Source organism: Homo sapiens, chromosome 15 (assembly GCF_000001405.40).
Source record: "Homo sapiens chromosome 15, GRCh38.p14 Primary Assembly".
NCBI classification, from domain to species: domain Eukaryota; kingdom Metazoa; phylum Chordata; class Mammalia; order Primates; family Hominidae; genus Homo; species Homo sapiens.
The window spans coordinates 30,649,474-30,664,396 of NC_000015.10; the positions used below are offsets into that span (position 1 = coordinate 30,649,474).

The 14,923-nt window shown below is 39.0% G+C and overlaps 1 pseudogene across 3 annotated transcripts in view; it reads left to right on the forward strand.

Annotated features, from left to right (window-relative positions):
* The window catches only part of LOC100288637 (OTU deubiquitinase 7A pseudogene), a 126,895-nt pseudogene that overhangs the window by 3,359 nt on the left and 108,613 nt on the right, over positions 1-14,923 (forward strand). For 2 of the 3 annotated variants that reach the window (NR_038254.1, NR_038255.1), the window contains exon 1: positions 9,244-9,371. The exons of the other annotated variant lie outside the window; for it this stretch is intronic. The product of NR_038254.1 is annotated as an OTU deubiquitinase 7A pseudogene, transcript variant 2 (transcript). Of the gene's footprint in view, positions 1-9,243; positions 9,372-14,923 lie in introns of those variants that run through there. 3 annotated transcript variants of the gene reach the window in all.

Here is a 14,923-nt window from a genome sequence, read left to right on the forward strand (position 1 = left end):
TATTTTAAATGTTATTAACATTTTAAAATAAAATACATAATAAGGTAAACTTTTTATATGTTGTGAATATCTGATCATTTTGTTTACTAATTTTGGATAGTATTATAATGTTGGAAACAACATTTTGATGAACATATTTGAGATTAAATCTTTGTGCCCACATTTTCTTTTTCTCTTTAGGGAAGATTCATAGAATTAGAACAAATTAGAACAAATGGGTAGAAGGCAGTAAATATCTTTGTGACTTCTAAAAAATTGCTGAAATACTCTTAAATAAATTGTATCAATATATAATCCCAATGTGTTTAAAATGCCTTTTGTTAGAACTTCCAACATTGAGTATTTATCAAATTGTGTATCCTTCTATCCTTGCCAATCAACTTTATGAGGTATAATTCATATATAGTAATATTGTAATAGTGTAATTTTAAAAATGTGTTAATTGTATATTATGCATAATTTAAAATGTTCCATTTCAGCCATTTTTATGTGTACAGTGGCATTTAGTTCATTCCCATTGTTGTATAACCATCACCACTATTCATTTCCAGAACTTTTTCGTCATCTTAAACAGAAGCTCTTTACCCATTAAACGGTAACTTCCCCTTTCCCTTCCCCAGTCCTGGTGAGCTATACTCTACTTATTCTATCCTGGTGAATTTGCTTATGGTGAGCACCTCATATTGCTACCGAAACATCAAGGGGTTTGGTCTAGGTCCTGTTGCTCACAGCTCAGAAAGCCAATCACAGAGACGATGAGTGTTGCTAGGGAAGAAGGCTTCAACTGGGTACTGCAGCTAAGGAGATGGGAGATCAATCTCAAATTTGTCACCTCCACTGACTAAAACCAGGGGTTTATTTAGCAGGGAAGAAATGTAACCATGTATGGGAAAACAGGAGTTAGGGAAGGGTGAGGAAGAGGAGTTGGTCAACAGGAAGCAGGTAGTTGGTTAGGCAATTGTGATGGGTGAGGTGGTCTGGTGTCTTATGGTTCAGATGTGGTGATGTGGTAAGTTTCAGTTCCTTGATAACTATCTGGGAGGCCTTATGGTTTGTTTCCCAAAAAAGGAATTCAGATAAGACAAATGTAACTTTCTCAAGTTTTAAGACTGGGAGGGTCAATTTCTATCTTTATTTTAAAAGACTGTAAGCATCAGTTCTATAGGACAATTGGGCTGGTTTCATTTGCAAGGTTCATCCATGTTGTAACTAACCATGTGTCAGCATTTCATTCCTTTTTAAGGCTGAATCATATCCCTTTGTATGTATATACCACAGTTTGTTTATTTTTTCATCTGTTGTTGGGCACTGGCTTGTTTATATCTCTTGGCTATTGTGAACAATGCTGCTACGAACATTAGTGTTTTCTGTTTTTGTTTTTTGCTAACAGCTATCCTGATGGGTGTGAAGTAGTATCTCATGGTTTTGATTTGTATTTTGTGACTACTGATGTTGAACATCTTTTTGTTTGATTGTTGGCTATTTGGAGAAAGGTCTAATCAAGTCATTTGCCAATTTTTGTATTGAGTTTTATGTTGTTTAGAGTTGTAGGTATTTTTTATATATTCTAGATATTAACCCCGTGTCAGATAAATGATTGTAAATATCTTCTCTCATTACACTGGTCGCTTTTTACTGTGGCAAGTGCCTTTTTGAGATATGAATTTAGGAAGAATTTTTCTATTTTTTAAATAAGAGTTTTATACTTGAATAAGGTAAATGCTCATCCATCATTAATTTTTTAATTAAAAACACAGTTTTCCTGTTTCTTTGGTGTAGTTCTCCTCTTGGTTGATTATATTTTATCATTGGATAGGTTTTTTTGTTGTTTGAGATGGAGTCTCGCTCTGTCGCCCAGGCTGGAGTGCAGTGGCGCGATCTCAGCTCACTGCAACCTCTGCTTCCTGGGTTCAAGCGATTGTTCTGTGTCAGCCTCCCGTGTAGCTGGGATTACAGGCACCTGCCATCATGCTTGGCAATTTTTGTATTTTTGTAGAGACAGGGTTTCACCATGTTGGCCAGATGGTCTTCAACTCCTGACCTCAGGTGATCCACCTGCTTTGGCCTCCCAAAGTGCTGGGATTATAGGCATGAGCCACCATGCCTGGCTGATAGATTTTTTGTTTTGCTTTCTTTTGAACAAGGCCTCTCAGTGGCTTACCTCTGTGCCATGCTTTGGTGTTTGAGCTCTCTTCCCTGTACTAACTGTAGCTCTGTAGGACTTGGGGGTCAACCTTACCTTTTATTTTTACCCCGTCTTTTGTGTGTCTTATTTGAGTTAGCATTTCTTTTTATTCCAGGCCTGTAAATTTTACTAGATTGTCTCTAGGAATCTCTTTTACTAATTTGCTTCAGCCTGCCTTCCTGCCATCTCTTTTTACTAATTTGCTTCTGCCTGCCTGCCTTCCTGCCTTCCTCCCTCCCTCCCTCCCTCCCTCTCTCCCTTCCTCCCTCCCCTTCTTCCCCTTCCTTCCCCTCTCCCATGCCTTCCTTCCCCTCTCCCATCCCTTCCTTCCCTTCTTTTCTTTCCATTTATTTTGAGATAGAGTATTGCTCTGTCACCCAGGCTGGAGTGCAGTGGGGTAATCTTGGCTCACTGCAACCTCTACCTCCCAGGTTCAAGTGAGTCTCCTGCCTCAGCCTCCTGAGTAGCTGGGATTACAGGTGTGTGCCACCATGCCCAGTTAATTTTTGTGTTTTCAGTAGAGATTGGTTTTCACCATGTTGGCCAGGCTGGTCTCGAACCCCTGACCTCAAGTGATCCACTTGCATTGGCCTCCCAAAGTGCTGAGATTATAGGTGTAAGCCACAATGCCTATCCTCTTCACCCCTCCTTTAGCTTTCATATTACTTCTTAGATTTCTTCCTCTCTATTTCATCCTTTTTCTGTTCCTGAAACCCCTACAGGATGGGTGTGGGAGTTTGTGTCTCTTGACTCTTCTTTCAAATTTTCTTTTGCTTTCTCACTTTCTCTTGTTTATTGAGATATAATTCACATACCATAAAATTCACCATTTTAATGTGTACAGTTCAGTAGGTGTCAGTATATTGAAAACTGTTCAACCATCGCCACTATCTAATTTCAGAACAGTTTTCTCACCCAGTGAAACCCAGTACCCATTCTTCTCCAACCCCTGGCAACAACTAATCTACTTCTTGTCAGCTGATTTGCTATTCTTGATATTTCATATAAATGGAATCATACAGTGTGTGGCCTTTTGTGTCTAGCTTCTGTCATTTAGCATAATGTTTTCAAGGTTCCTCCATATGGTGGAATGTGTGAGTACTTCATTCTTTTTCTAGCTGAATAATCTTTGTATGGCTATTCCACATTTTGCTTATGTGGTCTTGATGGACATTTGGGGTTGTTTCCACATTTGGCTATTATGAATAATGGTGCTCTGAACATTTGTCCACAGGGTTTTGTGTGAACATATACGTTTTTATTTCTCCTACAGTGGTGAGATTGCTGGATAAAATGGTAACTCTGTGTTGAACCTTTTGAAGAACTGCCAAAGTCTCTTTGTTAAACTTTTATTTTAGGTTCAGGGGTACACATGCAGGTTTGTTATATAGGTGAACTCATGTTATGGGGGTTTGTTGTATGAATTATTTGGTCACCCAGGCACTAAGCTTGGTAAGGACCAATTGTTATTTTTTCTGATCCTCTCCCTCCTCCCACCCTCCACCCTAAATAGGCCCCCGTGTCGATTGTTCCCTCTTTGTGTCCATGCAAACTTTCTTCTTTTATTGCTCTTCCTTGACTTTATCTTTGAGCTCTCAAACTTGATATTTATCCCCACTCATTTTATTATTTAGGATTTCCAGTTAATTTTTTAATTTCAACAATCATATTTGAAAGTTTTTGTTCATTTTCTTTTTCTCTGATTGGTCCTTTTTCCTAGCTGCCTATATTAGGTGTGTACTTTTGAATTTGAGGATAAATATTAGGATTATAAAAATCCTCGTCTTGGAGCAGAATTTAGAATTAAATGTTGTTATTAATATTTAAGGCTAAACATTAGGATTATATAATATAAGCCTGGAACCTGGACTTTGAAAAAAAGGGAACAAAATTCAGATTATAAACATTGTATTCTTATGTCTTGAACTTGTAGGTCACTTGTTTTTCATCATGGTCCTGCTTTTTAATGCTGTTTATTTCTCAAATGCCTGGTGATCTCTGTTTCTTCGTTTATATTATGAATAAATGATTAAATTGATTGGTATAGAAGTTGGCAATACGAGTTTCCTTTATTCGTGCCTAAGTCTCTTTCTCCAATAGCCTTTCCTTTAAAGAAAGGGCTGATATGTGGTATGTGAGGCCTGTTGACTGGTTGAGTTTAATTTGGGATTCCAGCTGGCTGAAGATCAGTAGGCAGGCTGGAGGCCTCTGCAATTGCCAGGGTGGGTTTTTCTTTGCAGTGGAGCTGGCTTTCCTCATTTAACCCCTTTCCCGCTTCAGTATCTGTAGGACCACAGTCGCTGCTTCCCACATCCATCCATCCAGTGAGCAAGGTGGATTGCTCACTGTAGGAACGATTTTCCACGTTTACCCAGGAGGCCAGGGCTGCAGGGTTTATTCTGTGTACCAGGGGAAGGAGACGGAAAGGAGACAGGATCTGATTGGCTCAACTGTTCCTTGTACAAGGACACAATTTTTCTTTGTGCAGTTGTTTAATCTGATGATTGTCTTGTGGCTCATTCTTTGTTTTTGTCTTAGTTTATTCCAAGTCCCTGAGGCTTCCTTGGGAACGTCTGTCTACCTGTGGTTCTTAGACAGGGGATTCCTTTGTTGATTCTCTGTCAGTCTTAATTCTATTTGTGCATGTCATCTGAGATTTTCTCAAACTTTCTAGTCCACTTTTAGCCCTCCTTTTTGTTTCCAATTATCATTTAATAAAAAGAGCTTGTATTTTAGAGACTCTAGAGGGTTCAGAAAAGTGAGTGTCGAGTGTTTAGTCTGCAACCGTTAAAGACAGAGAATGTCTCATAAGTTTGGATCTGTGTTACTTACATGATTTTGATTTACAGATGCTTTCTTTCTTTCCCTTTCCCTTTTATTTTTTCTTTTCATTTACTTATTTTATTATTATTATTATTAGTATTATTTTTAGAGACTTACTCTAAAAAAATAGGGTCTCACTTTGTGCCCCAGGCTGCAATGGGACTACAGGTACATGCCACCATGCCTGGCTAAATTACAATTTTTTTTTTTTTTTTTGAAGAGACAGAGTGTCACTTTGTTGGCCAGGCTGGTCTTGAACTCCTGGCCTTAGTGATCATTCCATCTTGTCCTCCTAAAGTGCTAGGGATTACAGGTGTGAGCCACTGTACCTGGCCAAAGTTTTCACTTTTTAATATGGTGTATAAGGTATATAGAAGTGCTTTATTTATTTATTTATTTATGAGAGGGAGTCTTGCTCTGTTACCCAGGCTGGAGTGCAGTGGCATGATCTCGGCTCAGTGCAACCTCTGCCTCCTGGGTTCAACAATTCTCCTGCCTCTGCCTCTCGAGTAGGTGGGATTACAGGCGCCCACCACCATACCCGGCTAATGTTTGTATTTTTTAGTAGAGATGGCATTTCACCATGTTGGCCAGGCTGGTTTTGAACTTCTGACCTCAAGTGATCCACCCGCCTCAGTCTCCCAAAGTGCTGGGATTACAGGCATGAGCCACCATGCCCAGGAGAAGTGCTTTTAACTCCACAAGTGTTTAGGCTTTTTGGGTTATATTTGCTATTTTTACTTTTCTCCTTTTACTATATCAAAATGAGTCCTTTATGATTTCTGCCCTAGGGAATTCTAAAGATTTATCTTTGTGGTCTAATATAAAATCATTTTAAATGTATGCCATGAATGTAGTCAAGTATTGATAATAATGTAGTAATAGTAGCTTGCTCAGTCAGCACAAATTGTCAGGACACAGTGGTAATTTCTGCATGTGGATTATCTCCTGATTCTTAGAACAACATGAAACCAGGCTCATGAAAGATGAGTAATTATCCCAGGGTACTGTCTCCCTCACCTCCAATGTTGGGCCAGAGCTAGGTCCAAGACTTTGAATTCTAGAGTGTTAGACACCATCCTATGCAGCCTCCCACTGAGTAAGGGTGGTCACTGTTTGTAGGGTGTAGAGTTTGATAGATACGTCTGTTACTTTGACTTCATTAGTTTTATTTAGGATGCTTGAATGTATGAATGTATTGATTAATATATTCATTATTGCCTTCTCTCTGTGCTTGGAAGAGAAGAAAATTGAAGTTTACCACTACCATGGGTTTACTTTGCGTGCTTTGTTATTTGGTGTATAAAGATTCACACCTTAGATCTTTTGTAGGTCATATGGTGTTTAGTTTAAAGGGAATCTTTTTCTGAAGAGTTTAGCCTTGAATTCTGCTGAGATTTACATTGGCAATCCTGTTTGCATTTTGTTTGCCTTGTACAGCCATACTTTTATGCACTCCTTTCCTACTAATGTGTTTATTTTGCTTTTGATGTTGATATATTTGTTCAACCAACATTTTTAGATGCCCGAGTGCGCTCCAAGCACTGTCTAGGTGTCACAGTGGCGATCGGGATACAGCCCTGCCTTCATGGATCTTCTGGGCTGGTCGGGGAGACAGACAATAAACCAGTCAACGAATGAATAAGTAACTGCAAAATTTTAGTTCTGCTCTAATGTGGTAGCCATTCACTTCATGGGGGTCATTTAAATTAATTAAATTAATAGTAGCTTACTCATTCAGCATGTATTGTCAGACACAATGGTACTTTCTGCACATGGATTATCTCCTTTGATTCTTTTAACAACATGCGGTATGTATTGTTATCGGTCCTACTTATGAGGTAACCAGGACTAGGCACATGAAAGATGAGTAATTACCCCAGGGCACTGTCTCCCTCACCCTCAACTGTGGGAGTAATTTTTAAAAGAAAAGTTAAGGCGAGATGCAGTAGCTAACGCCTGTAATCCCAGCACTTTGGGAGGCTGAGGTGGGCAGATCAGTTGAGCTCAGGAGCTCAAGACCAGCCTGGACAACATGACGAAACCCCGTTTTTACTAAAAATACAAAAATTAGCCAGGTGTGGTGACACACACCTATAGTCCCGGCTATTTGGGAGGCTGAGTTGGGAGGATTACTTGAGCCCGGGAGGCATTGCAGTGAGCGGAGACTGCGCCACTGCTCTCTAGCTTGGATGACCCTGTCTCCCAAAAAAAAAAAAAAAATTAATTTGAATAAAATTTGTTGTTCCTCACTTGCATGTGTCATATATTATGTGCTTGATAGTCATGTGTCTAGTGGATACTGGATTGAACAGTGCAGATGTGGGACATTTGTCAGTGCACGAAGGTTTGGTAGACAGTGGTGCCTTAGATGCCGTCATGGAGATGGGTTGGTTCTGAGGTACAGTGTCAAGTCACTGGGGGCACCTGGAGTGGTGACCTGAGAAAACCTGAATTTTGAGAAGGAACCTGTACTGTGAGGGTGTTGTCTATGGGGCATGTGGTACTTGTATTTAGGATTTTGGTAAAAAGTGACTATTCATAAGCTATTTAAAGTTTCTATTTTAAAAGTATAGGGTTTTTAGGTAGTGTGTTTTCTCTTATTCTAATAATAATTGTTTTGGTCATATTAGGGAAAATAACTGACATGTTGTTAGATTTTTATTTTAGTTGATTAAATCTGGTAGCCATTATTTACTTTTATAGATTGAAAAATGGTTCAGTGTTTCAAAAGTATTTTGAGCTTGTCTTTGGAAAGAGATAGGCAGGTGCAGTGGCTCAGGCCTGTAATCTCAGCAGTTTGGGAGGCTGAGATAGGAGGATTGTTTGTTAGGAGTTCAAGGCCAGCCTGGGCATCATAACAAGACCCCATCTCTACAAAAAGTAAAAAAATTAGCTGAGCGTGGTGGTGCACGCCTGTAGTCCCAGCTACTTGGGGGGTTGTGGTGGTAGGATGGCTTTTCCAATTATCCTACAGATATTTTTCAAAATGATTACTTTTAACCTATAATCTTTTTATTTGGAGGTGGGATGCTAACTCTCCAATTGCCTAGGACTTCTTTAATTTGTATATGTTAAGAAATTTTAATGGGCAATTTAATAAGTGTTGAAATTTCTAAGAATTATTTCCGTATGTTAGAGTTGTGATAAAGCAGACCTTTTCCCGGTAGTACTTCTCTGAGTCTGATTTGTTTTCCCCCATGGGTGCCACATAGGTTTATTTATTTATTTATTTATTTATTTATTTTGAGACAGAGTCTCACTTTGTCACCCAGGCTGGAGTGCACTGACGTGATCTCGGCTCACTGCAAGCGCCACCTCCCAGGTTCACGTCATTCTCCTGCCTCAGCCTCCCGAGTAGCTGGGACTACAGGTGCTTGCCACCACACCCAGCTAAGTTTTTTGTATTTTTCGTAGAGACAGGATTTCACTGGGTTAGCCAGGATGGTCTTGATCTCCTGACCTTGTGATCCGCCTGCCTCGGCTTCCCAAAGTGCTGGGATTACAGGCGTGAGCCACCATGCCTGGCCACACATGGGTTTACTTTAAGAAGGTAAAAAATAAAAGCTAAGGTACATACTGATTACCCCAGACAACATGCAGACATCACTCAATGAGTGCAGTTCTCATCAACTCACCATTTGTTTCAATTAGAAAAAATCTCTTCAAAACGAATTTTTCTGCATGAAATACCTTTTCAAATCACACTGTGATTTATTAATAGTGATTTATCAAATTCAGTTTTCTGCTGGACACTAAAGGAACACCTCATTAAGACTAGTGTTTATGGAAATAGTACAATATTTTAAACACTTTTAATTGTAAAAGTTTCTTTTAAACTTAATGCATACAGGTATGTTATTGTTCAGATATTTAGCACTTACATAGAAACTCACTGATCTACTAACAATTAGAAAAGAGACCTTTAGCCAAATGCCTCTGTACTCAGAAATAAAATGATTAATTACTGTTTTGCTCTTTTCTCTGGTTAAGGCTTTTAAAAAATTTTATTTTTCCTTTTACTATTACACCATAACTTGTTTAAATTTTGTTGCTATTGCAGAATTGCCGCAGTCATTACAGTTCGTGTCTCCCTGTGTATATGAGGGAGAGATTCTCTGGGCTGTGTAGATGCCCAGAGAATGGGGAGTGTGGGCCTGACCTGTCACATTCAATTTTTGTTTCACAGTCTTACATCTAATGCTCTTCGTTGCATTATGTAACTAGCTGGGGTTAGTTTCCTCAGTACCTACTCTTCAGAGCCTGTTTTCTCTCCGTTTACAGATGGGCCAACGTTGCTTGGGTGGTTGGTTTACTGGCTTTTCACACAACTGAGCTCCAGGAAAATACACCTGTTGTTGAGGTAATGTCTTTTATGACTGAAATGTGATTAATGACAAGAAATACTGTTGTTGATTCCGTAATTTAGAACATGCGGCTTTCCTTGACCTTCACTTGATTTTTCTTTGTGGGATTGTGGAAATTGTTCGAAAACTATCACCTCAACAGACCTTTAGGCTTAAACATAGCGGCTCATTTACAATGTAGTCCATCATTAAAATGGCACAGCAGAGTTAACAAGGCTCGTGAACCCTACTCATCATTATTTCATTTGTTTTTGAATAAGACTTGTTCATTTCCCGTTTTCTTGTAGTCTGTCCAACATTTTGTTACAGCTAATGTATTTCCTAATTAAATCATAGCTTATAATTCAAAATTCAAATTCTTCTGGCTTTCAGTGTTTTCGTATGAAAGATTACTTTCTACCTATTCTGTTAATGTGTATTACACTTAATTGGTAATAGAGTTTTATCCCTTGAATTGGGAGAGGCTCAAGAGTCAGTGTAGGTGAAAAGAACCAAGACTTTTTAGGGGAAATAGCAAGAGGTCCTGAAGGAGGTTAAAAGGGGGTAAGGAGAGGGTATTTTGTAGAGCTGAAGCTGGTTGTGTGGTATTTGGGGCTTTAAGAGGAATTGGAACATTTTCTGTGTCTGTGTTGTCCACTATAGTAGCCAATTGGTATTTGGAGCCTTAAGAGGAATTGGAAACTTTCCTCTCTGTGCCGTTCACTGCAGTAGCCAATTGCTGGGATAGTATCCCAGCTGTCCTTATAGTGTCTGGGTGGAGATTAATATAATTTCACTGTATTTCCCTTGCTTACAATTCCATCTCTATTTCCTGCAAACTGTTGGATCTCTGAGCTACTAGTAAAATGCCACTAAGTCTAATTTTTTCCTTTTTTGGGGGGCCTAAAATAAATGAATTGTGACCTGTGTGATTACTGATGGTACCCAACTTGGTTCTCAGAGATGTGTCGAGTAGATTTTTATCTAAAAGATTGAGCATATAGGGCAGTATTACCAGGAAGATGAGAAGGCTTAGGATCTTAAAAATGGGGGTTCCTTCTGATGGCTCAGAGCAAAACGTCTCCAGTGAGATGGAGTAGCTGTAGGAGATGGGAGAGAACATAAAGTCCAAGACAAAGTCCCAAGATTTTAGAGGATATTCCTGCATCGTCAGAGCAGGCATTTGTTGCTCAGGAGCTGTGAAGAAAGAGCCTCTGAATATGTAAAATATGACTGTTGAATTAAATGATTCAGTAGTTGCAGTAGAGTATGGATACTTTAGGAAGCTGAGTTAGTGAATTTGAAGATCAGTTGGATGAATTCTCTTAGGATTCAGAAAGAAAGAGGATAAAAATTATGAACTAAAAAGGCATGAATGATAGTTTCAGATTTGTTGCGCTATCTAGTATAGTAGCCACCAGCCACTGTAGCTATTGAGCGCTTCAAGATTGGCTAGTCTGAATTGAGATGACCAACTTATAGAAAAGAACACTATGGGCACCCTGTAATTTCCAAACCCCGTTGTTCTACTTGATCTTTTTCACAGCATATATCACCACCTGGCATTTTATGTATTTATTTCTCTTTCCACAGTAGACTACAAGCTCCATTGGAACAGGGATTGTGAATTGTCTTGTTCAACACTCCACCCCGGTGCCTAGACAGTGTCTTGTGTATATCTAGATACTGACAAATATTTTGAAATAAGTGAATGAAAGTGTATCAGTATGCTTGGGACTCCCTGTAGCAGTGCCTGGAAAATGGTATGTTTTGCTGCTGCAGGAATTCTCAAGGGACTGGGCAGAGGGCATGTGAAGTAACCTAGGACCTGCTGGTCACCCTGGGTGATGTGCTGCCCTCGTTCTACTGGTACTTGCTGTTGCGGCTGCTGCACTCCCACTTGGAGAGTTTGGCCCAGGAGTTCCTGAACCATATTTGTTACTTGTGCTCACTCAGGTTGAGTTCTGTGGCCAGTTTGTATTCTCAAAGTATTTCTCCTACTCCAGTTGTTGTACTTTGTCAACGTTGTATTTTATTATTCCTGGTCCTGCCTCAACTGAGAGGAAAGGGTGGGTGTTAATTCCCGAGGTTCTTGTATCTTTGATTCCGGTACCGTTCTCTTCATGGGTGTTTGCTGATGCTTTATTAATTTGAAATGCAAGAACTTAGGGAAAATCATACTTATTTCATTTTAAAAAATGGTGTGTACTGAACTATCTGGTGGACTGTTTTGAATTACACACACTGTATTGTGAACTACATTTGGTTGGATAGTAGGGAGCTTATATAATAACTTGAAATTGAGCCAGGTGCTCCTTTGTGATGCCATCTTAATTTTGTTATTTCTCCACACCTTTTAGTTCTTTAGTTCATTACTTTTAATGGCAAAATCTGTGAATTTCTTTTGCATCAACCTAATTCCTGCTGTGAGCAATTGGCTGTGATAATTTAAAGAGCCACTAGAGGTCATTCAAACACTAGAAAAAAAGTTGTGCAAGTTTTAAGAATTTGTTTCAACTTCCAGAAGCAGGATCTGTAGAGGCTGAGCAGGTACATGGTACCATGTTTCATCTTTTTCCTGGTTTTTTAGAATTTTCTGCTACAGGATGTGTGGCTCCATTCCATTGGCGATTTTTACTATTTGAGAGGAATCAGATGAATGAAAACCATTATAGCCTCTCCAGAGAAATGCAGTCAGCACCTAGCACATGATTTCAGGGGATCTGAAAACCCTGCGGAATCCACTGGTGAATCTTTGGTTCATAACTCCTGAGACCAGGTTTCTGTAAAACTCGTAGTTGCGTGCTTGTAGATAATTTTTCAGTAATCAGTAACAAAATTTCAAGTGTAAGATAAATCCTGAATTCTCTATTAGATTTACTATCAGGGAACAAGAAAAATTGTGGTTGAAGATCCTATAAGCACTTTATTTTAGTTTCTATTTTACTTATTTATTCATTTATTTTTTGAGACAGAGTCTCGCTCTGTTGCCCAGGCTGTAGTGCAGTGGTGTGATCTCAGCTCACTGCAACCTCTGCTTCCCGGGTTCAAGAGATTCTCAGCCTCAGCTTCATGAGTAGCTGGGATTGCAGGTTCATGCCACCATGTCCCACTAATTTTTGTGTTTTTACTAGAGATAGATTTTCACCATGTTGGCCAGGCTGGTCTTGAACACCTGGCCTCAAATGATCCACTTGCCTCGGCCTCCCAAAGTGCTGGGATTACAGGTGTGAGCCACTGCACCTGGCCCCTATAAGCATTTTAAAGGCATAGAACCTCATTTTGTTACTCACCTTTGTACCCCTCAGTGCCGAGCCAGCAAAGTAATGTGTATTTCAGGCACTCAGTCAAAGCTGAAGGGTTTAATGAATGATTAAAAGAATGTTAGAAGATTATGATGGTGTAATTTGTTACAAAGAGAAAGAAAAAATAAAGCAAAAATCTATTTTACTGTCCTTGTAATATAATTTAAGTCTCTTTTATCTTATTCTCTCATTAACAGCTATAGAAAATAACTGGTCATGATCTCCTTTATGCATTTAGAAGCCTTTATTGGCATCTGTATCTTTTTCACAGAAAAATATAACTATCTGAAGCTTATTTTCCTAGATAACACATTTACCACTGTGTAATCATTGTGGTTTCTATATGTAATTTAAATAAATATTTCTGTTATTAAGCCAATATATTTAGTTTGAAGCATGCAGTGGATATATTTTAGGAAATTAATACAGACTCATCAAATGCAATAACTGAAAAGAATTTTTTTTTTTTTTTTTTTTTTTGGTGACCAAGCCTCACTCTGTCAGCCAGGCTGGAGTGCAGTGGCACGATCTTGGCTCACTGCAACCTCCGTCACCCAGGTTCAAGAAATTCTCCTGCCTCAGCCTCCCGAGTAGCCGGGATTACAGGCGTGCACTGCCATACCAAGCTAATTGTTTTTGTATTTTTAGTAGAGACAGGGTTTCACCATGTTGGCCAGGCTGATCTGGAACTCTTGACCTCAAATAATCCACCCATCTCAGCCTCCCAAAGTGCTGGGATTACAGGCGTGAGCCACCATGCCCAGCCAAAAGGAATATTAACAGACATTCTAGGTTAACCCTTTCATTAAATTTTTTTATTATCGGTTGGGCATGGTGACTCACGGGTGTAATCCCCAGTACTTTGGGAGGCTGAGGTGGGAGGACGACTTGAACCTAGGAGTTTGAGACCAGCCTGGGCAACATAAAGAGACCTTGTCTCTAGAAAAAATAGAAATAGTCTGGCGTGGTGGTGCGGATCTGTGGTCCCAGCTACTCAGGAGGCTGAGACATGACCCTGGGAGGTTGAGGCTGCAGTGGGCTATTATCATGCTACTGCACTCCAGCTGGGTAACAGAGCAAGAGCGTCTGAAAATTTTTTTTTATTATAATGGAAAATGTCAACATACATAGAAGTAGAGAGACTACAATAATGAGGAAGCATCATTTGCTTCCAGCAGTCATCAACATTGGCTAATCTTGTTTCATCTATGTCTCCTGCTTTCATTCTCCCTCTCCCTTTTTCTCCCCCTCTCTCTCTCACTGGAGTATTTTAAATAAAATGATATCATTTTATTAGCAAATGTATTTTTCTAACAGAAAAAGATTAGAAAAATATATAACCACAATTTCATTATCACTCACAATACATTCAACAGTAGTCCTTGAATATCATCTAACACCCAGTTAGTGTTCAGATTTTCCTGATGGTTTCATACATGTCATTTTGTAATTTTTCTTTGAGCCAGGATTGTGTTTAGATAATGTGACCCTTAAGTGTCTTAATTCCTGGTCTCTTTTTTTAATGTCATTTATTTGTTACAAATTGTCCCTTGTCTTGGCCCAAATGGGAACATCAGAAGCTTTATTGCACCCTTTTGGTGTTATTTAACAGAGTCCTTTATCACCTGCCTTTCCCTTCTTGCACCTGGCTGCTTATATGTGGACCCTTGGTTCAGTGCTTTTTTGGGGGCATGGCTTAGGGAAATAGGAATTTTTCATAGTTGGTGCTGTATTTTTCCTATTGCTTCATAGAAAGTGAGACAACTAAGCATTATATACCTCTATTAGAGGGGTTAAAGTTGATCACTGGAGTCAGATGTTGTTGGCCTTATTATAAATATTCCCATCACTCTTTTTTTTCTTCATACCCTCATCTGTGAGCCAGGAACTCATCACTCTTTTATTTAATAGTTTTAACATCAATTGATTATTGTCTACATGTAATAATCCTTTAGAGATGCAAAATGATAATTTTCTTGTTCTGTAATTTCCTTTCTATTTGTAGTTGGAAGTTTTCTTACAGAAGAGCTTTCCCTGATCAACTGTTTGGTTATCCTAAAATAGAATTTGTTTCTCAAGGCAGGATAAATGCTTGATTGTTTCTCTTCATAGGTCAGTTTTCAGAATAAAGAGTTGGTACCATAGAAATCTCCATAAATGTCCAGTGAGTTGGTACCTTAGAAATCTCCATAAATGTCCAGTGAAATTGATTTTATATTCTTAAGAACTTATAGATGTATATATGTATATGTATATCATCTAGT